Raw genomic sequence first — 23,107 nt, 5'->3', positions numbered from 1 at the left:
GTGGAATTCTGGTAACAATAAGGACAGCTTGCAACTTAGTCTAAGTATCTACAGGAGCCTCTACCTCCCAACTGAAACTCTTGGTTCTTATCACCATATGATCTAGGGACCAGAGTTTTCATGAGGCCATTTAAAAAAGCATTCAAAAAAAAAAAAGCAAAAGACAAGGATGAGGTAGTTAGCAGACACCAAGGGACCTTGTCTCAGCCTAGTGATACCACATCACAGTGGCAGCAAGAAGCAGAAAAGAGGGGAGACATACAAGTACTTGACATTTAAAACACAATGACAATATCCATTTGTAAATATGGTTCAGTTTATGTCCTAGAATTCAGCCAATCAGGAAAGCAACTCCTTCTCATGTAAAGAAGGACAGAGAAGGATCAGGAAAAGCAACAGAAAGGGAGTTAGACAGCCTCTCCTCACCCAAAACCCCCTGGCATCAGTGATTCTCAAAATGTGGTGGGCGAACTGTCTACATCAGACTCACCTGAGATGCAAATTCCTGGACTCTCCACAAACGCACTGAAACTGAACCTATGGGGTGGGGATCAAGAGTCTGCATCTTGTCCTGGGCGTGGTGACTCACGCCTGTAATCCCAGCACTGTGGGAGGCAGGTGAATCCTTTGAGGTCAGGAGTTTGAGACCAGCCTGGCCAACATGGCAAAACCTGTCTCTACTAAAAATGCAAAAAAAAAAAAAAAAATTAGCCAGGCGTGGTGGCGCGGGCCTGTACTCCCAACTACTCAGGAAGCTGAGGCATGAGAATCGTTTGAACCCGGGAGGTGGAGGCTGCAGAGAGCCAAGGTCACGCCACTGCACTCTAGCCTGGGTGAGAGCAAGACTGTCTCAAAATAAAAAAAAAAAAAAGAATCTGCATCTTACAATATCCCCAAGTGAACTATGAGAACCATTTGTCTAATTCCTAATTCACTGTGAAGTCATTGAAGAGTGGAGGCAGTATTGTAGTGAGGGAGGGGCTAAAGACCTGGCAGCCACTCCCTGCAGTCAGGGTAGAAACAGCCCTGGGGCAGCTGGCTCGGGTGCTCAGCCCTCAAAGCATCTGGATACATCAGAGGGATTGCCTGCATCTCTCCTTCCTCATCTGTGACCGTAGAGGGGCAGCTCTCCCCTGACTTTCATGACGTTTTTGTGAACATAAAATGAGCTGATGTGTAAAAAAGCTTTTAAAACTTATATAACCTGAGGAATTATTTATTCCTATGAACTCAGAAATAACCACCTTTCCCCACTTCCCCTGCAGTTATGGGGAATCAGAGGTTTGTGTTTTCCTCTCAACAGGCTCTCCACAAAGATTATATTCACCAGATAATTGCAGACTTTATTCTCTTCAACTTGTGGATTCAGTCCCAGGATGGGTGCCCATAACTAATGGGAAAAAACATTTTTAAAGAAAAATCTATCTTCTCTCCTTAATGTTATTAAAAGGTCACTGCAATTTGATGCTCCAGACTTCCATCTTGAGCTCTAGGCTTGGGTATTTCTACCTGGATATGCCTCTGCTCAACCCTGCAACTTATGTGTGTCCCAAAATGAACTTCTAAGTTTTCATCCCAAATAACTGGTTTCTTCCTCTTGAGTTCCTCATTCTGATGAATGGCCTCGCCATCTTCTAGCACCTCTAACTCAAGAATGCATTGTCAACTTGGGGCCCTCTAGATCCAGTCACTCTCCCCCCAGAGTTTCTTGCTTACATGTTCTTTCTTTTCTAATCCTTCTGCTACTGCCTTCATTATGGCCCCCATCCATCACCACTTTGGCTCAGGTACCAGGCTGTGCAGTAGTAAAAATGTAAAGTAAGGTCTAGAATGTCTGCTCAGAGCTGAGTCGTTCTCACATAAGTGAGCCTTACACAAAAACAAAAGACATCATCTATTTGGTTGGGTATGTGCTTGAAGGCTGACAAGACCTGGGAGAGGATTTTAGAGATCTCCCCGCTACGGAAGCTCTGCTCTGCTTCCACACTTAGGGAAGCTTCCAGCACAGACTGAGAACAGCATCTGTCCTGGGAATTCTGAGATGCACTGAGCGATTTGGCTTGTTTATTCACCATCACTGCATCCTTTCCTGAAAATAAACTACATTCCACAGTGATCTTTGGGGTTAGATTCTTGTCCATGACAACTCTCTAAGGATTCAAAACAGGAAGCCAGCAGGAGCTGGTCCACAAGGGAATCCTTGAGCCCCTATGCTAGCCCTGGCCTGCCTCCTTCTGGACTTCTGGTTGCGGAAGACGAGTAACTCCCTTACTTTAAGCCATCACTGGTCAACTTTTCTGTTGCTTGCAACCAAATACAACCTTGTCTGAGAGTGAAAAGACGGAGCTGAAACTTAAGCCCAAATCTGTCTGACTTGTCAAACATATTCGCATAAACGCTTCTCATACTCTATACTGTGGCTTATCTGAGGCAACAGATGTGCAAATGGAGAAGGAAAAAATAAGATATCCTAACATGCCAGAGAAGGCTCAAGCTAGCAGCTGATATTCTGCAGCCCCTGCTTCCAGGTTTCCAACCCGGATGACTACTCTGAGAGGCACCATCCATAGGCAGCCAGCTGCAACTTTAGCATAACTTTAAGCATTCTGGGAGCTAATTCCGCCACGTTTGGGGAATAGGATTAGAGTAAGACCCTGATTTGGTTTTTACAGTCTGCCAGGGGCTATTCCTTTCCTTTTACCACTTCCTGGGTCTTTAAACCTCCAGCTTGGCCTCAGGAAATTTTATGAAACCAGAACCTCCATAACTGAAGGCACAGCCTCCATCAACATTTGAATCAGATGGCCCTTCCACTCTGGGTGACAGAAAGGAAACCTCTTTGCCTTATGCCCTAGGAAATCAGCAACCCTCATCTAATGTGATCAGTGTTTGTATCTTGTGGCCTGGCACCAAACTAGAGAAAATGGATACAAACAAAAACATAAGGTGGGGAGTTTTGTACTAATCAGAACCTTGCTCCAGATCATCCCTAAGGCATTAGAATCAAAGAATATAACAGAGGAAAAGTGGGCTAGAGGGAGCTGGTCGGGGAGAGCAGCCAGCTAACAGCAAAGGAATGCACCATCAGCTTTGATCAGGTTTGACAGGGCATCCATCCTCTGTAGCTGGTCCCATTCTCCAGTGTTTACATTTGTCACATCTCTTTTCCTTCCAAACAAAGGATGCTTGACAGTCTGAATGGGTAATTTGCAAGGTACCAGAGCTCCTCAGCCATGCATACACATACATTTTCAGATGGGTTGAGGGCAAGTGGAGGGCACCAGCTACATTTTGAAGACAATGAGGCCAATACCCTTGAAATGTGCCCAGTGCAAAAATAACATCTTGCAAGCCCTTATCTTCATTGTGAAAACTAAATTAATGACTCTTTCACCCACTATGGAGGCCAGCATGTATCAGAGCCCAAGACTTCAAGAATGAGGCTCAAAACACATCTGTAGGAAAATTTAGTGATTTTGACTCTCTGCCCAGACTAATATACTTCTTAAAGTTTGCAAAATTTTATTTTCAGTTTCAGTTGTCTATTATGCAACTTACCTATTGCATGAAAAATGGGTTTTCATTTCTCCCCTCAGGTGTTTGGAGCACTCAGGGATCTGCCTCCATTTCTTGTGCTAGAGCTAAGAGGGGCTACATGTGAATGTGCATGCACATGCCTGCATGAGCGAACTTGACGAGCATGGGGTACAAGGCACCACTGAACTTTGCATTCTTGATTAGAGTTTTGGCTGCAATAGCTGAGCCTGATTCAGTTGATTTCAGTTTTACAAATACCTTCAAACTGTTGATCAGCTACATTTTTGCTTCTAAGCAGACCCACCATAGGAATACCAAACAAACTCCCTTAGTTTAGCCAATCAGCATATTTACTGGAAACTGAACAATTATTGTTCTGAGCAGACACAAGACATGACCAAGATAGGACCCAGGCCTGTAAGGTATGACAGTATAAGAGAGACACAATAAGGCAGGGAGTCTTCATTGGGCCTTCAGAGACTGTTAGAATAGGAACAAATGAGTATTGTGGCTTATGCACCCTGTTGTGGTTTGGCTGTGTCCCCACCCAAATTGCACCTTGAATTGTAGCTCTCATAATTCCCACATGTTATGGAAGGGACACAGTGGGAAATAATTGAATCATGGGGACTATTTCCCCCAGACTGTTCTTGTGGTAGTAAATAAGTCTCAGGAGATCTGATGGTTTTATAAGGGGCTTCCCCTTTTGCTTGGCTCTCATTCTCTCTTGCCTGCTGCCATGTAAAACACGTCTTTTGCCTTCAATCATGATTGTGAGGCCTCCTCAGCCACATGGAACTGTGAGTCCATTAAACTTCTTTTTCTTTACCCAGTCTCAGATATGTCTTTATCAGCAGTGTGAAAACAAACTAATAAAAACCCCTAAATTTGAATGAAGTTTTATGTTTAAATGCATGTGTGAATTTTTCCTGAGAATGACTCTTTATCTTGCACCAGATTCACGAAAGGATCTGGGAGACAGTAAAATGCTATGGGAGAGAGTACTGCCTAATGGGCTCTGGAGATAGCTGGCATGCTGGGCAAGAGACTGAATCTCAGTAACCTTGGTTTCCTCATTTGTGAAATAAGGACAACAATATGAACTTGCAATGATTGCATTTTAAAATGTTGACCAGGCATAGTGGCGCAAGCTTATAATCCCAGCAGTTTGGGAGGCCAGGGCAGATGGACTGTTTTAGCCCAGGAGTTGAAGAACAGCCTGGACAACATGGCAAAACTCTGTCTCTACAAAAAATAAAAATACAAAAAATTAGCCGGCTGTGGTGGCACATGCCTGTAGTCCTAGTTACTTGGGAGGCTGAAGTGAAAGGATTCTTTGAGCTTGGGAGGCAGAGATTGCAGTGAGCCAAGATCGCACCACTGTACTCCAGCCTGGGCAACAGACCCTGTCTCAAAAAAAAAAATAAATAATAAATAAATAAATAAATAAATAAGTGTGGTACTCAAAATACAGTAGGCCATCAGTACATGTGAACATGTGAGCTGTCATAAGAAAGGAGGCAGAGATAAAGAAGGAGAAAAGAAAGCATTGGTGCAGTACATTTTCTAGGAAATACCATACTTTGTGGGTCCCAAGTGCTCTGGGGCTGAGGAAATCAAAGAAGCCTGCTTGGATGAAGTGAGGTAGGATTTTGCCCTTAAAGAACAAAGAGGATATAGATTGGCAGAATGAGTGAGTGTTAGGGTTACAGCTAGAGTGGGGTAAAGGTTAGAAATAAGGATAGAAACAGGGTTAAGAATTTGGGTTAAGGGTACATTCAGGTTTAGTTTTAAGATTAGAGATTAACTTTAAGGAAGCAGTAATATTGTCACACAGAGAATTAGTACAGTCTAGCCAAATAGATGGTGGGAAGGAGAATTGACTAGGGCAGATTGCCCATGGTGCTTAAAAGTGAGTGACAAATTAGACAGCAAGCGTCTTGAATCAAAGCCAGCAGCTTCTCCAGAGTGTTGGGATACAGCAAGCTCCATCAGCCCACTGGCCTTTTTATGTAGGGTTGCACAAGACAATCCAGGTTAATGCCATGTGCTCATTAATACAAGGACCATGCTTTATTCATCTCAGTCTCCCCAGCTTCCAGTCCAGTGCACAAAACATAGTAGGTGCCCAATAAATACTTGCACCAAATCCAAGCTGAACAAGACTCCTAGAAACATGGAAGGCAAAAACTGTCATTCCACAGAAAGTGCTCCATTAATTCCCCTGCATTTATCACTCTACTCTCTTTCCTAAAACCCTATTTTCATTGCTTCTAACCAGGAGAGAGAAGAGAGAGTAAGGGGTGGCTTCTCTTTGAAATCTTCTGCTTCCCTTTCTAAAAACTGCTTTTGAGATGCAAGTTTATACAGTGAAACAAATAAAGAAATAATGATCTTTCAAATACAGGGTCTGCTACCTCTATGTCTGTGGCCTGGTTAAGTCTTAAAACCTCTCTCTGGTATGTTTTCATCATGTGTAAATGTTACTGTTATTGACTGCTCCATTGGGCTATTGTGAATTTAAATCATATAGCAACCAAGAGAGTTACCATTTCTAGTGCTTTTTATTTATTCCTAAAGATGCGTGTATCCTCTTTTTCTTTCTGTATATCATTTTCCTTCAGACTAACGAATTTCATTTAGCCCATCTTGTCATGCAGGTCTGATGGCAATAAATGTGCTTAGCTTATCTTTCTCTGAAAATGTCATTATTCTGTTTATATTATTTAAGGATAAATTTTGCTAGGTATAGAACTCTGCATTAACTTTTTTTTTCCTTTTCACACATTAAAAATGTTATTCCATTGTCTTCTGGCTCTCGTGGTTTTTGATAAGAAGTCAGCCGTCAAATGACTCCTAACTTCAATTGAAATATTTTCTCACATATGTAATGTGCCTTTTCTTTGACTGCTTTCAAGATTTTCTCTTTGTTTGTGATTTTCTATAATTTGGCCATCATGTATCTAGATGTGATTTTTTTTATTTATCCTCTTTGGGTTTGCTGAGCCTCTTGAATTCACAAATTTATGTCTTTCACCAAACTTGGGAAGCACACAGCCATTATTTCAAGTATTTGTTTCTGTCCCATTCCCCCTTTTCTCTTCTGGAATTATAATTATCCATATTTAAGATTTATTGATATTATCCCATGGATCTCTGAATTTTTATTTATTCATCCTTACTTGTTTTTTCTTCCCTGACTCAAAGTAGATGATTTTTATTGATCTATCTTTAAGTTACTGACTCTTTCCTTTATTATCTCCATTTTGTTCGTAAGCCCATCCAGCAAACACTTATTTCAGATAGTGAGTTTTTCAGTTATAAAATTTTCATTTTTTTTATGTTGACTGTCTGATGAGATTTCCTATTGTTTCATTTGTTTCCAGTGCATTTTTCCTTTACTTCATTGAGCATAATTATAAAAAAGCAGCCTTAATGTCCTTGTTTGATCATTCCAGTGTATGGATTATCTTGGGATTGGTATCTGTTTATTTCTTTTCCCCTTGAAATTGGGTCACATTTTCATGGCTTGTTGAATGTTGAGAAGTTGTTTGATTTTATCCTGGTTATTGCAAATTTTATGTTGTGAAGACTCTGAATTGTGTTGGATTCCTTAAAGAGTACTTATCTTTTTGTTTTAGCAGGAAGTTAAATTGGTTATATTCTGGCTGTGAACTCTATCATGTATTAGTTCAGACTGCTTTCATTCTGCCCTTTTCATACAAGGTTCATACAAGGTTTCTCCTAGTCACAGAGACAGGCTTCATTTCCCAGCCTTCGTTTCAGTTAATGTTGCCATATGACTGAGTTCTAAGCAATAGAATGTGAGTAAAAGTAAGGTGTACCACTTCCAGACAGAAGATTCCACATACCATCTCCCATTCTCTTTCCCTTCTACTAGCTGGTGGTGTCCATGTCCTGAGTGATCACCTGTTGCAGACGGAAGAGCTTCTGGCAGCCTAGATATGTAGTAGACTGTGATGAGCAGAGCCCCACAACTCTGATCATTCATTGCTGCCAATCCTGGAATGGCTATAGACTGTTTGTGAGAACAAAATAACTTCTACTCTGCTAATCCACTGGAAATTGAGATATGATTGTTTGAGAAGTTACCCCACTTTAATTAATATAAGGTACTTTAAGAACTTCTGAAGGAGAAAGTAAGATTCTGGTTAGAATTGGATATTTTAAAATGATATCCACATTAAAGTAGTGGTTAAAGTAGTGATTAAAATAGTGGTTAGAGCAGCTGGTGTGGGCAAGGCCTCCTAAGGAAGAGCAAAGGACTGAGGCTGGAGCTCCCAAATACCCTGACTTTCAAGAGTTGAGCAGGGAAGAGGAGCCACAAAAGAGACTGAGAAACAATGGCCAGTGAGCTGGGAGAAAATACGTAAGATGGTCAAATAAGCAAAGTGTAACAGTGATGTAAGAAAGAGAAATCACCCATGGTGAATAGCAGAGAGAGACTAAGTATAGTAAATACCAAAATGGTCCATTGGACACAGCAATATGGAGGTCTTTAGTGATCTTGGTGATAATAGTTTCAATAGTGTGGCAGGGACAAAAGTTAAGCTGTAATACATTGAAGAATATTTTCTTAAAGTAGATATAGCAAATATAAACTAATTATTTGGAAGCTTTGCAGTGAAAATAAGATGGGGGAATAAATTCATGACTAATTGAGGGAGGTATTTTTGTTTTAAAATGGGAGAACCTTGGGCAAGTTTAAGTATTAGGAATTAGCCAGTGGAGATGGAGATGTTGACACCACAGGAAAGAAAAAGGGAGTAATTTAACAGAAACCATATAGTATCTGATTGGCTTCTAAAAGGGAAAACAATAAAAGTGTATTAAATGATGACTGCGTTCCACATGCTACTCTAGGCACTTTACAGTATTTTTACTTTTACTCTTCCAAAATATTTCCTGTCACTACTCCCCTCTCTCACTCCACTCTAATTACAATGGTCTGCTATTCTTTGGACATACCAAGCCCATATTCTAGCCTCGGACTTTGGCACTTAGGGGTCTCTCTGCCTGAATATCTTCCCCTATATCCACATGACAGCTCACTCCCTCATTTCCTTCAGGTCTTTGCTCAAATACCATCTTCTTAGACAGGCTTTCCCTGGGCACCTTGTATGAAGTAGCAACCACACTCCTACTCTCTTTTTTTTTTTTGCTCTCTTCTATTTTTCTTCGTAGAACACACTAACACAGTAAAGCCTCCGTATCCATGGGTTCCGTATTAACAGATTCAACTAAGCATGGACAGAAAATATTCAAAAAAATAAATAAAAAGTAACAATACAACAATAAAAACTACAAATTTAAACACAGCATAACAGCTATTTATATAGCACTTAAATTACATTAGGTATTATAAGTAATCTAGAGATGGTTTAAAGTATATGGAAGGATGTACACAGCCTACATACAAGCACTATGCCATTTTATGTAAGGAGCTTGAGCATCTGTGGATTTTGGTATCTATGGGGGTTCTTGAACCAATTGTCCTTTCATACTAAGGATGATTGTATTAATTTATCTATTTAATGTTTACTGTTCTCACCCAGATACCACCACCACCTGCCACTTTCTGCCCAGAATGTAGAGTCCATCAGGACAGAAATCTTATCTGTTATTTTCATTGCTGTATCTCTAGTGCCTAGAAGAGAGCTTGGCTCTGTGCTGTGAGACTCAGAGAGGTTGTGTAACTTTCCCATGTAACACAGCTACTGGGTTGTGGGAGCCAAAACTGGAACCAGTTCTCTTTCACTTCAAAGTCCCTGCTTGTGTTTCTAACCTACACTAAGGAGGGTCAGTCTCACATTACATTTCTCAAATTGGTTGATACGACTTCTTTACAGCTAACAATTTTTCAATCAGAAAGTTTAAGTCATTCCCTCCCTGAGCCTGTTCCCCTGGGAAACAAGACATGACTTTGAAGTATTTAATTTCCATTGAATTAACAGTAGCCTTTAAATGAAAAAAGCTATCTCTTCTTTACATGAAAATATTAGATTCTGTAAAAGAGACCTAGCATGAGAGATATTCTACTCTAATGAAACTTTAGGATTGCATTTCTAATTTCTGTGGAAAATGACATTAGAATTTGATATGAATTACATTGAATGTGAAGATTGCTTTGGGTAGTATGGACATTTTAACCATGTTATTTATTCTAATCCATGAACATGAGATATTTTTCCATTTATTTGTGTTTTCTTTCTTTTTTTTTTTATTATACTTTAAGTTTTAGGGTACATGTGCACATTGTGCAGGTTAGTTACATATGTATACATGTGCCATGCTGGTGCGCTGCACCCACTAACTCGTCATCTAGCATTAGGTATATCTCCCAGTGCTATCCCTCCCTACTCCCCCCACCCCACCACAGTCCCCAGAGTGTGATATTCCCCTTCCTGTGTCCATGTGATCTCATTGTTCAATTCCCACCTATGAGTGAGAACATGCAGTGTTTGGTTTTTGGTTCTTGCGATAGTTTACTGAGAATGATGATTTCCAATTTCATCCATGTCCCTACAAAGGACATGAATTCATCATTTTTTATGGCTGCATAGTATTCCATGGTGTATATGTGCCACATTTTCTTAATCCAGTCTATCATTGTTGGACATTTGGGTTGGTTCCAAGTCTTTGCCATTGTGAATAATGCCGCAATAAACATATGTGTGCATGTGTCTTTATAGCAGCATGATTTATAGTCCTTTGGGTATATACCCAGTAGTGGGATGGCTGGGTCAAATGGTATTTCTAGTTCTAGATCCCTGAGGAATTGCCACACTGACTTCCACAATGGTTGAACTAGTTTACAATACCACCAACAGTGTAAAAGTGTTCCTATTTCTCCACATCCTCTCCAGCACCCGTTGTTTCCTGACTTTTTAATGATTGCCATTCTAACTGGTGTGAGATGATATCTCATAGTGGTTTTGATTTGCATTTCTCTGATGGCCAGTGATGGTGAGCATTTTTTCATGTGTTTTTTGGCTGCATAAATGTCTTCTTTTGAGAAGTGTCTGTTCATGTCCTTCGCCCACTTTTTGATGGGGTTGTTTGTTTTTTTCTTGTAAATTTGTTTGAGTTCATTGTAGATTCTGGATATTAGCCCTTTGTCAGATGAGTAGGTTGCAAAAATTTTCTCCCATGTTGTAGGTTGCCTGCTCACTCTGATGGTAGTTTCTTTTGCTGTGCAGAAGCTCTTTAGTTTAATTAGATCCCATTTGTCAATTTTGGCTTTTGTTGCCATTGCTTTTGGTGTTTTGGACATGAAGTCCTTGCCCATGCCTATGTCCTGAATGGTAATGCCTAGGTTTTCTTCTAGGGTTTTTATGGTTTTAGGTCTAACGTTTAAATCTTTAATCCATCTTGAATTGATTTTTGTATAAGGTGTAAGGAAGGCATCCAGTTTCAGCTTTCTACATATGGCTAGCCAGTTTTCCCAGCACCATTTATTAAATAGGGAATCCTTTCCCCATTGCTTGTTTTTCTCAGGTTTGTCAAAGATCAGATAGTTGCAGGTATGCGGCGTTATTTCTGAGGGCTCTGTTCTGTTCCATTGATCTATATCTCTGTTTTGGTACCAGTACCATGCTGTTTTGGTTACTGTAGCCTTGTAGTATAGTTTGAAGTCAGGTAGTGTGATGCCTCCAGCTTTGTTCTTTTGGCTTAGGATTGACTTGGCGATGCGGGCTCTTTTTTGGTTCCATGTGAACTTTAAAGTAGTTTTTTCCAATTCTGTGAAGAAAGTCATTGGTAGCTTGATGGGGATGGCATTGAATCTGTAAATTACCTTGGGCAGTATGGCCATTTTCACGATATTGATTCTTCCTACCCATGAGCATGGAATGTTCTTCCATTTGTTTGTATCCTCTTTTATTTCCTTGAGCAGTGGTTTGTAGTTCTCCTTGAAGAGGTCCTTCACATCCCTTGTAAGTTGGATTCCTAGGTATTTTATTCTCTTTGAAGCAATTGTGAATGGAAGTTCACTCATGATTTGGCTCTCTGTTTGTCTGTTGTTGGTGTATAGGAATGCTTGTGATTTTTGCACATTGATTTTGTATCCTGAGACTTTGCTTATCAGCTTAAGGAGATTTTGGGCTGAGACAATGGGGTTTTCTAGATATACAATCATGTCGTCTGCAAACAGGGACAATTTGACTTCCTCTTTTCCTAATTGAATACCCTTTATTTCCTTCTCCTGCCTAATTGCCCTGGCCAGAACTTCCAACACTATGTTGAATAGGAGTGGTGAGAGAGGGCATCCCTGTCTTGTGCCAGCTTTCAAAGGGAATGCTTCCAGGTTTTGCCCATTCAGTATGATATTGGCTGTGGGTTTGTCATAGATAGCTCTTATTATTTTGAAATATGTCCCATCAATACCTAATTTATTGAGAGTTTTTAGCATGAAGGGTTGTTGAATTTTGTCAAAGGCTTTTTCTGCATCTATTGAGATAATCATGTGGTTTTTGTCTTTGGCTCTGTTTATATGCTGGATTACATTTACTGATTTGCGTATATTGAACCAGCCTTGCATCCCAGGGATGAAGCCCACTTGATCATGGTGGATAAGCTTTTTGATGTGCTGCTGGATTCGGTTTGCCAGTATTTTATTGAGGATTTTTGCATCAATGTTCATCAAGGATATTGGTCTAAAATTCTCTTTTTTGGTTGTGTCTCTGCCAGGCTTTGGTATCAGAGTGATGCTGGCCTCATAAAATGAGTTAGGGAGGATTACCTCTTTTTCTATTGATTGGAATAGTTTCAGAAGGAATGGTACCAGTTCCTCCTTGTACCTCTGGTAGAATTCGGCTGTGAATCCATCTGGTCCTGGACTCTTTTTGGTTGGTAAACTATTGATTATTGCCACAATTTCAGCTCCTGTTATTGGTCTATTCAGAGATTCAACTTCTTCCTGGTTTAGTCTTGGGAGAGTGTATGTGTTGAGGAATTTATCCATTTCTTCTAGATTTTCTAGTTTATTTGCGTAGAGGTGTTTGTAGTATTCTCTGATGGTAGTTTGTATTTCTGTGGGATCGGTGGTGATATCCCCTTTATCATTTTTTATTGTGTCTATTTGATTCTTCTCTCTTTTTTTCTTTATTAGTCTTGCTAGCAGTCTATCAATTTTGTTGATCCTTTCAAAAAACCAGCTCCTGGATTCATTGATTTTTTGAAGGGTTTTTTGTGTCTCTATTTCTTTCAGTTCTGCTCTGATTTTAGTTATTTCTTGCCTTCTGCTAGCTAGCTTTTGAATGTGTTTGCTCTTGCTTTTCTAGTTCTTTTAATTGTGATGTTAGGGTGTCAATTTTGGATCTTTCCTGCTTTCTCTTGTGGGCATTTAGTGCTATAAATTTCCCTCTACACACTGCTTTGAATGCGTCCCAGAGATTCTGGTATGTTGTGTCTTTGTTCTCGTTGGTTTCAAAGAACATCTTTATTTCTGCCTTCATTTCGTTATGTACCCAGTAGTCATTCAGGAGCAGGTTGTTCAGTTTCCATGTAGTTGAGAGGCTTTGAGTGAGATTCTTAATCCTGAGTTCTAGTTTGATTGCACTGTGGTCTGAGAGATAGTTTGTTATAATTTCTGTTCTTTTACATTTGCTGAGGAGAGCTTTACTTCCAACTATGTGGTCAATTTTGGAATAGGTGTGGTGTGGTGCTGAAAAAAATGTATATTCTGTTGATTTGGGGTGGAGAGTTCTGTAGATGTCTATTAGGTCCGCTTGGTGCAGAGCTGAGTTCAATTCCTGGGTATCCTTGTTGACTTTCTGTCTCGTTGATCTGTCTAATGTTGACAGTGGGGTGTTAAAGTCTCCCACTATTAATGTGTGGGAGTCTAAGTCTCTTTGTAGGTCACTCAGGACTTGCTTTATGAATCTGGGTGCTCCTGTATTGGGTGCATATATATTTAGGATAGTTAGCTCCTCTTGTTGAATTGATCCCTTTACCATTATGTAATGGCCTTCTTTGTCTCTTTTGATCTTTGTTGGTTTAAAGTCTGTTTTATCAGAGACTAGGATTGCAACCCCTGCCTTTTTTTGTTTTCCATTTGCTTGGTAGATCTTCCTCTATCCTTTTATTTTGAGCCTATGTGTGTCTCTGCACGTGAGATGGGTTTCCTGAATACAGCACACTGATGGGTCTTGACTCTTTATCCAATTTGCCAGTCTGTGTCTTTTAATTGGAGCATTTAGTCCATTTACATTTAAAGTTAGTATTGTTATGTGTGAATTTGATCCTGTCATTATGATGTTAGCTGGTGATTTTGCTCGTTAGTTGATGCAGTTTCTTCCTAGTCTCGATGGTCTTTACATTTTGGCATGATTTTGCAGCGGCTGGTACCAGTTGTTCCTTTCCATGTTTAGCGCTTCCTTCAGGAGCTCTTTTAGGGCAGGTCTGATGGTGACAAAATCTCTCAGCATTTGCTTGTCTGTAAAGTATTTTATTTCTCCTTCACTTATGAAGCTTAGTTTGGCTGGATATGAAATTCTGGGTTGAAAATTCTTTTCTTTAAGAATGTTGAATATTGGCCCCCACTCTCTTCTGGCTTGTAGGGTTTCTGCCGAGAGATCCGCTGTTAGTCTGATGGGCTTCCCTTTGAGGGTAACCCAACCTTTCTCTCTGGCTGCCCTTAACATTTTTTCCTTCATTTCAACTTTGGTGAATCTGACAATTATGTGTCTTGGAGTTGCTCTTCTCGAGGAGTACCTTTGTGGCGTTCTCTGTATTTCCTGAATCTGAACGTTGGCCTGCCTTGCTAGATTGGGGAAGTTCTCCTGGATAATATCCTGCAGAGTGTTTTCCAACTTGGTTCCATTCTCACCATCACTTTCAGGTACACCAATCAGACGTAGATTTGGTCTTTTCACATAGTCCCATATTTCTTGGAGGCTTTGTTCATTTCTTTTTATTCTTTTTTCTCTAAACTTCCCTTCTTGCTTCATTTCATTAATTTCATCTTCCATTGCTGATACCCTTTCTTCCAGTTGATCGAATCAGCTCCTGAGGCTTCTGCATTCTTCATGTAGTTCTCGAGCCTTGGTTTTCAGCTCCATCAGCTCCTTTAAGCACTTCTCTGTATTGGTTATTCTAGTTATACATTCTGCTAAATTTTTTTCAAAGTTTTCAACTTCTTTGCCTTTGGTTTGAATGTCCTCCCGTAGCTCAGAGTAATTTGATCGTCTGAAGCCTTCTTCTCTCAGCTCGTCAAAGTCATTCTCCATCCAGCTTTGTTCCGTTGCTGGTGAGGAACTGCATTCCTTTGGAGGAGGAGAGGCACTCTGCGTTTTAGAGTTTCCAGTTTTTCTGTTCTGTTTTTTCCCCATCTTTGTGGTTTTATCTACTTTTGGTCTTTGATGATGGTGATGTACAGATGGGTTTTTGGTGTGGATGTCCTTTCTGTTTGTTAGTTTTCCTTCTAACAGACAGGACCCTCAGCTGCAGGTCTGTTGGAATACCCTGCCGTGTGAGGTGTCAGTGTGCCCCTGCTGGGGGGTGCCTCCCAGTTAGGCTGCTCGGGGGTCAGGGGTCAGGGACCCACTTGAGGAGGCAGTCTGCCCGTTCTCAGATCTCCAGCTGCGTTCTGAGAGAACCACTGCTCTCTTCAAAGCTGTCAGACAGGGACATTTAAGTCTGCAGGGGTTACTGCTGTCTTTTTGTTTGTCTGTGCCCTGCCCCCAGAGGTGAAGCCTACAGAGGCAGGCAGGCCTCCTTGAGCTGTGGTGGGCTCCACCCAGTTCGAGCTTCCCAGCTGCTTTGTTTACCTAAGCAAGCCTGGGCAATGGCGGGCGCCCCTCCCCCAGCCTCGCTGCCGCCTTGCAGTTTGATCTCAGACTGCTGTGCTAGCAATCAGCGAGATTCCATGGGCGTAGGACCCTCCGAGCCAGGTGTGGGATATAGTCTCGTGGTGCGCCGTTTTTTAAGCCGGTCTGAAAAGCGCAATATTCGGGTGGGAGTGACCCGATTGTCCAGGTGCGTCCGTCACCCCTTTCTTTGAGTTGGAAAGGGAACTCCCTGACCCCTTGCGCTTCCCAGGTGAGGCAATGCCTCGCCCTGCTTCGGCTCGCGCACGGTGCGCGCACCCACTGGCCTGCGCCCACTGTCTGGCACTCCCTACTGAGATGAACCCGGTACCTCAGATGGAAATGCAGAAATCATCGGTCTTCTGCGTCGCTCACGCTGGGAGCTGTAGACCGGAGCTGTTCCTATTCGGCCATCTTGGCTCCTCCCCCCCTCTTTCTTTTTTCTCATTAATGTTTTTTAGTTTTCAGTGTACAGATCTTTTAGTTCCTTGATTGAATTTACTCCTAAGTATTTTATTTGTTTAAGCTATCATAAAGGAGTTTTCTTAATTTCTTTTCCAGATGATTTGTTATTAGTGTATAGAAATGCTACTGGCTTTTGTAGGTTAATTTTGCAACCTGCAACTTTATTGAATTTGTTTATCAGTGTTAACAGTTTTTTTAACAGTCTTCAGGGTTTTCTATATATAAGATAATGTCATCAGCAAACAGAGACAATTCTACTTGTAAACAAAAAAATAAAATTCTAAGCCCTCTAAACTGACTGATGGACCCCCTCTCAGCCAAGGGCATTCCAAAGTAAACCTGAAAATATAGTTCAGGTGATGATGGAAAGTGAGGGGTTGGACATGCCTCATTATCTCCCTCTCACTGGAATTTAGTCACAGCTGACCTGCATTAACATTAAAGCAGTGCTTAAGACCCACAAAGCAAACTCTTTATAGCGATAAGATACCAAATTCCATCCTGGCTGTAGCATAGCATCAGATGACAGCAGGCTCTGAAAGAAACTGAAGTATTTTACCCCAAAATATATTTCTTCAACATATTTTAAAATGGGCCTGTGAAGCTGTCTCTTGCGGGAAAAACCTACATTATGTAGAGAATCCCCTTCCCTTTCCAGATCTTTTCCTAAACCAAGAGTGAATTAACTGAGAGTCTAGCACCTTTTAAAGTCTGATGAGAAACATTTACAATCTATTCTCTCTGAAGCCAGCTACCTGGCGGCTTCCTCTGCATAATAAGAACCTTGGTTTCCACAGCCCCCTATCTTAACCCAGACACTCCCTTCTATTGATTCCAGGTCTTTAGATAATAACTTAACTCTTTCAACCAATTGTCAATCACAAAATCTTTGAGTCCATCTATGACCTGGAAGCCACCCCACTTTAAGTTGTCTTGCTTTTCTAGACTGAACCAATATACATCTTACATGTATTGATTTATGTCTTATGTCTCCCCAAAACATATAAAACCAAGCTGTAGGCTAGGTGTGGTGGCTCGCACCTGTAATCCCAGCACTTTGGGAGGCCAAGGTGGGTGGATAACTTGAGATCAGGAGTTCGAGACCAGCCTGGCCAACATGGTGAAACCCTGTCTCTACTAAAATACAAAAATAAGCCAGGCGTTGTGGTGGGTGCCTATAATCCCAGCTACTCAGGGGGCTGAGGCGGGGGAATTGCTTGAACCCAGGAGGTGGAGGTTGCGGTGAGCCAAGATCATGCCATTGCTCTGCAGCCTGGGAAACAGAGTAAGACTCCGTCTCAAAAAAAGAAAAAAAAAAAAAAAAAAACCCAAGCTGTACAATCATCTTGGGCACATGTTCTCAGCAGGAACCCTGAGACTGTGTCATGGATCATTGGTCATCATATTTGGCTCAGAATAAATCTCTTCAAATATTTTACAGGATTTGACTCTTTTTGTAGACACATTTCTTCCTTTTCTGTATGAATGTCTTTCTTTTTCTTACCTAATTGCTCTGGAGAGGACTTTTGGTATGATATTGAATACAAATGGTGAGAATGGGCATTCTTGTCTTACTCCTGATCTTAAAGGAGAAGCTTTTGACTTTTCATCACTGAGTATGATGTTAGCTATGGGCTTGTCATGTACGGCCTTTCTTATGTCGAGGTACATTCCTTTTATGCCTATTTTTGAGAGGGTTTTTTTTTTTTAACCATGAATTAATATTGAATTGTGTCAAATGCTTTTTCTGCATCTGAGGTGATCATGTGGTTTTCATCCTTCATTTTGTTAATATGGTATATTACATTTTTTAATTTATGTATGTTGAACAATCTTTGCATTCCTGGAATAAATCCCACTTGATCACAGTGAATGATCTCTTTAATGTGCGGCTGATTTTGGTTTGTTAGCATTTTGCTAGGGGTATTTGCATCTATGTTCATTGGGAATATTGGCCTATAGTCTTCTTTTCTTGCGGTGTCCTGTCAGGAACTTAACTATGAAAACCAGCAGAGCAAAAAGTTTCCAAATCATGTTAAAATTTATTTCTTCAGTTACCAAGGGGAAAAACAAATGTGTATAGAGCCCATTTATTTGTATCAGAATGAACTTAAGAAGAAGCAATTTAAGGCCAGGTGTGGTGGCTCATGCCTGTAATCCCAGCACTTTGGGTGGCCGAGGTGGGAGAATGCTTGAGCCCAGGAGTTCAAAACCAGCCTGAGCAACATAGGGAAACCCTGCCTCTACAAAAAAAGTTTGAAAATTAGCTGGGAGTGGTGATGCGTGCCTATGGTGCCAGCTACTCAAGAGGCTGAAGTGGGAGGATCACTCGAGCCTGGGAGATTGAGGCTTCAGTGAGCTATCATCACACCGCTGTACTCCAGCCTGGATGACAGAGCAAGACCCTGCCTCAGAAAAAATACAAAAAAAGAAGAACCAATTTATACTTAACAATTTTCTAGAATAAGCAAATGAACCCTGCTTCTAAGATCTTACACATCAGAGTACCAAGGACAAAGAGGCAAATATGGAGTAGATAAGTTGAAATATATTTATGAAAAAGTACTTTTCTAAATCTGAAGTTTTTCAAATGTACTCATACGCATTGTCTTATTTGATCTTCCAACTTTTTCTGATGCATGTGTGGTATCTGTTATTCCTATTAAATCCATTTTTTACAGTTAAAGCTTGGATAAGTTACTACCAATAAGTGGAAAATTAGGATTTTGATCCAGATATTTCAAATCTAAATCCTATTTCCCTGAGGCTCACCAGGCTGCTGAAAGCAGTTGTATATATAGATAAGGTAAAATATTTACTCCAAGACTAGAATGAGTAATTGAGTATCAAATGGAAATGGGCAGCGCTATTGGATGTTCATGTTCACATAAGGTGAGATTGAACTGATTGGAAATACACCTGTGTGTGCAGTGTGCATATGATGTTTGCATATATGAATATATTTTATATATGTACACATACATATATATGTGTTTGTGTTTGCATTATACTTGGGACTATACATATATGCAGTTGGGCAAATCTTAAAATAAGCGTGAAGATATCATAAGCTGATTTAATGGAGCAGAAACGAATGAGAGAAATTTGGGAGAAGAATCAGAGAGCAAAAAGGAAAGATTAGAAGTGAAAAATGAGAAATGCTTCCTCCTGCCAGTCAGTCCATCTGGATCTAAAGAGTCTAGCACTCAAATCACTGTTACCTCCACACCCATAGCAGAGCTCATTCATTGTTCAGGGCAATCTTTCCCACTAGCTTGGATACAACCACAGAGTCCACCCCAAAAGTGCCCCAAGCAGCCATTACCAACGGATCAGAGAGCACTTGCAAAGCCTCTCCAACACTGCCCTGGGAGGCACTCACTGACTTTACTCTCAACAGTATTTTAAATTGAACTCAGTGGACTACAAGGACCTCCCATTTAGATTCATTCATTCAATCAGTCATTGAGCAGTTAATATGCACTTTTCTAAAGCTAGTTTCTCCTTTTCTGGGTCTTAACTTACATACCACATCCTCAAGGAAACTGCTTCCTGATCCTGTTTATGGTACGGTGGTCATCCCATTTCATTATCTCAGCACCTGTTTTCTTTCTTTTTCACATTTTTTTTTGCGGGGAGGGTACTGTGTTTTCTGTCTCCCTCACTAGTCTGAAACAGAGGATGTGCATGTCACAAGCTCCATTGTATTTTTGGCACAGTACTCAGCACATAGTATGTGTTGAATAAGTACTGATTCAATGATTGAATAAGCAGATGAAGTAATAAATAAATACTCAGTGCTTGACCTCAATTGGCTCACAGTCAAGGGCAAGAAGTTTTTTGTTTTGTTTTGTTTTGTTTGTTGTTGTTTTTGTTTTTTCAGAGATGGTGTCTTGCTCTGTCACCCAGGCTGGAGTGCAATGGCGCAATTTCAGCTCACTGCAACCTCTGCCTCCCAGGTTCAAGTAATTCTCCTGCCTCGGCCTCCCAAGTAGCTGAAATTACAGGTGTGTGCCACCACACTTGGCTAATTTCTGTATTTTTAGTAGAGATGGGGTTTCGCCATGTTGGCCAGGCTGGTCTCAAACTCCTGACCTCAGGTGATCCACCTGCTTCAGCCTCCCAAAGTGCTGGGATTACAGGCGTGAGCCACCGCGCCCGGCCAAGAGGTTCTTATGCATACAGATAAATGACACTTTCAACACCATCAACAAGCTCAGAGAGCACACTGAGCAGAGGATTTTGAGAGAACAAACAGAGGACAGCTGGAAGGCTTTCCAAAGAGATGATGCTTGAAGGATGTGTAGGGAGAAGCAAAGCAAAGAAGTGAAAAAGGATATTCAAGTCCAGAGGCAAATTTAAAACTATGGCATTGAAGATGAGCTATGCTTGAGTGAGGCTGAAACAGAGGAAGCCACAGTGGGGTGGGGATGGACTAGTGGCCAGTTGGGAGGGTACTAAGGCAGAGGGGCCACACCAAGGAGGGCTACCAGCTGCTTGTTTTTTCTCTCCCCTCTTGCCAGCTCCCACCTTTCCTCCCCTTGAACTGTCTGGCCAGGAATCCCATTCATTTTTGCAATGAACTTGCTGCTCTTTGGTAGACAGCCTAAGCCCAGAAATGGAGTAAGATTACCTTTGTGTTTATTTTAGTCTCACTTTAAGGATCTTATCTCTAGCAAATCCCCCATTATGGTTCACCATAGCGAGACACATAGGAAGAGCCACTTTTGCAAAAAATAAAGGTCCAATGATTTTCCCCAACCCCATTAAACTGTCATGAAGTTATGCTTTATTTACCAATGCAGATTCATTGCTTGCAGTCCATGGGCCCCAAGGCAGGAGGACAGAAATGAAATCCTGAGGTATACAATCGTTGTGGTGTCTGGACTTTGGGGGAAAATTTTTCAGGGTTTTATGAAGAATTAGCTTTCATACTAAACTTTATTAAACTTTATCACTGAATTCTTTCCCTTTGGAAAGGGCTTTTCAGCTATTAAGCCTGGAGAACAGCCCACGTCGGATTAATTCCAAATGAAATGTAGTGGAGGATCTGGAATCCTCTGAGCACAGACACATAAGTCTCATTAAATGTGTATAGATGCTCACAACAAAGCCCAGCTCAATTATACCCTGAGAACGGCGCTCAGAGAGACTGACAGGGTTGAGGCCTGGCCAGGGGTCTCCCGGGCACACACAAAGAAGCTTCAGGGAGAATGCAAGCATCACTCTGCCCCACAAAATTTTCTTTGGCTAATTGTAAAGGAAAAATTACTTGGAAGTGCCAATTAGCCTCACTTCTTTTTGTCCATTTTAATTTCATTCCCCTTATCAAATCAAGATCTGTGACAGCTTAATCCGAACTCAAACTCTCGGTCAAATATTTAGAGGCCGAAAGTGGTGAAGAAAAATTCCAAGTGAAACCCCAGGCTGGGACCCAAGTAGAGAACTAATTCACCTTGATGAAATAATTGCATTGCTAATACCTTGAAAGAAAGAAAATTATTTTCTCAGACAAAAAGAGCTGACCTCCCACTTTCACCCCCTACGCTCTTCCTGAGAAGCAGAAATCATCAATCCTCAACTGGTAGCAATAGAGAACAAATATTTGGGGTCTCTGTTTTGGTCTTGGGGCTTGGTTGGTTTGGATCCTATTTTCAACAGCACTTTTTCCTTAAAATGTAGCAAATATTACACAGCTAATAGGAAATCTACTTATTCTTTTCACAGGCCAAATAAGCTTGGAGAACATACATTCTTAAGGCGTGTGAAGTTTGCTTTTGGCACAGAAAGCGATCCAGAAAGTCATGCAGAGAGGGCAGGACTACATGGTTGAGAGCTTCTTGGAGGCAGAATGAATCAAGAAAAGGTTCTTTAGCTAAATAATTACTGAGCCCTTTGTGGACACTAAATAAATGGTACCTATTAGCATATGTCTTTAACTCCCAGACCTACAACTTTTTCCTGTTTTAATCTTTCTGGAATTTCAGTATGTCTTGTCATTAAAATGTTCATTGATTTAGTGTAGTAGTGTTTCTTTTCTTTCTGAAAAGCTATTATTAAATTGAGAGTGAATCTTGTAATAGATTATACCTGATTATTAAAGAAATATCATTATTAATACTGTCATAGTTGTTATTATCATTATTTAAAGTTAAGACATGACACAGAGAGATATCTCATGGGAGGGGACTTTGATGAATTAGTAAATGGACAATTAAATGACCAGGAAGGACCTCGAGTACAATGTTTAGGAATTTGTAAATTTGTGGTCTGTAATGTTTGATGCTTTCTGAGCAAGGGAGTGGCACACCTACAGACATTTATAGTAGTGATATGGAAGGCAGAACAGAAGAATGAGATGCTGGAGAAAAAAAGAACAAAGACTATAAAAATTGTCCTGATGAAAGTATGAGAACCTGAGCTACAGTAATATCAGTGTTCAGACAAAGAGACGTGGCAAGGCTTGTGGGATTTTTGGAAGATAGAAAGATCATAATTTGATGACCCACTGATGTTGACAGCCTGCCTTGATTTCCCATTTCACACATAAGCGAGTCTCCTTATGTAGTATAAAGATCAAAATGCACAATCTGACTGGGGCTCCAGGCCATGAGTCTGGCACACATTTTACATTTTAAAAGCCCTGTGTTCGGCAACTCACACTAAATCTCTCAACCATCCAACTTGGGACTCATAGAGCACAGCGGGTATGCCAACACATGAGACATCCTTGAGGCCAGAGAGAAATGGTTGCTCATGAGGCAGGGAAAAATCTTTAAGGTATTATTGCTGTGTCACAAGGAGGAGATATCTAGAATGATATGTAGAAAGCTCTGCCTCCACTGAAACCTCACCAAGGATAAGATCACATCTGAAGTTGAGGTAAGTTTTCAACTCTCAAGGAATTAATTATATAGATCTAAACTACAGTAGAAAAAAATCACTCCATGGTTTAATGTGCATTTCAAATAAAATTCAGATACATAGAATGATATGTAGAGGACTCTGCCTCCACCAAAACCTGATAAATGAATTCAGTAAAGTTGCAAGATACCAAATCAACATGCAAAAATCAGTGGCATTTCCACAAGCCAGAAGTGAACAATCTGAAAAATAAACCAAGAAAGCAATCTCATTTACAATAGCTACAAAAAATACCTAGGAATTAATTTAACCAAAAAGGTGAAAGATCTCTACAAGGAAAACTATAAAACATTGATGAAAGAAATTGAAAAGGACAAAAAAAAATGGAAAGATACTTTACATTTATGGATTGG

At 40.7% G+C, this 23,107-nt stretch overlaps 1 annotated feature.

Moving 5' to 3' along the window:
* Positions 14,824-15,477: an enhancer, noted in NCBI's record as "OCT4-NANOG-H3K27ac-H3K4me1 hESC enhancer chr12:106022357-106023010 (GRCh37/hg19 assembly coordinates)". NCBI's record gives its function as "activates a minimal SCP1, AML or CMV promoter by ChIP-STARR-seq in naive H9 embryonic stem cells {active_cell/tissue: H9 hESC(naive)}" and the evidence as "EXISTENCE:reporter gene assay evidence [ECO:0000049][PMID:30033119]".

This window comes from Homo sapiens, chromosome 12 (assembly GCF_000001405.40).
Source record: "Homo sapiens chromosome 12, GRCh38.p14 Primary Assembly".
Lineage (NCBI taxonomy): Eukaryota > Metazoa > Chordata > Mammalia > Primates > Hominidae > Homo > Homo sapiens.
The sequence above is the reverse complement of the archived record's forward strand: the minus strand, read 5'-3'. Positions and strand labels throughout refer to the sequence as shown.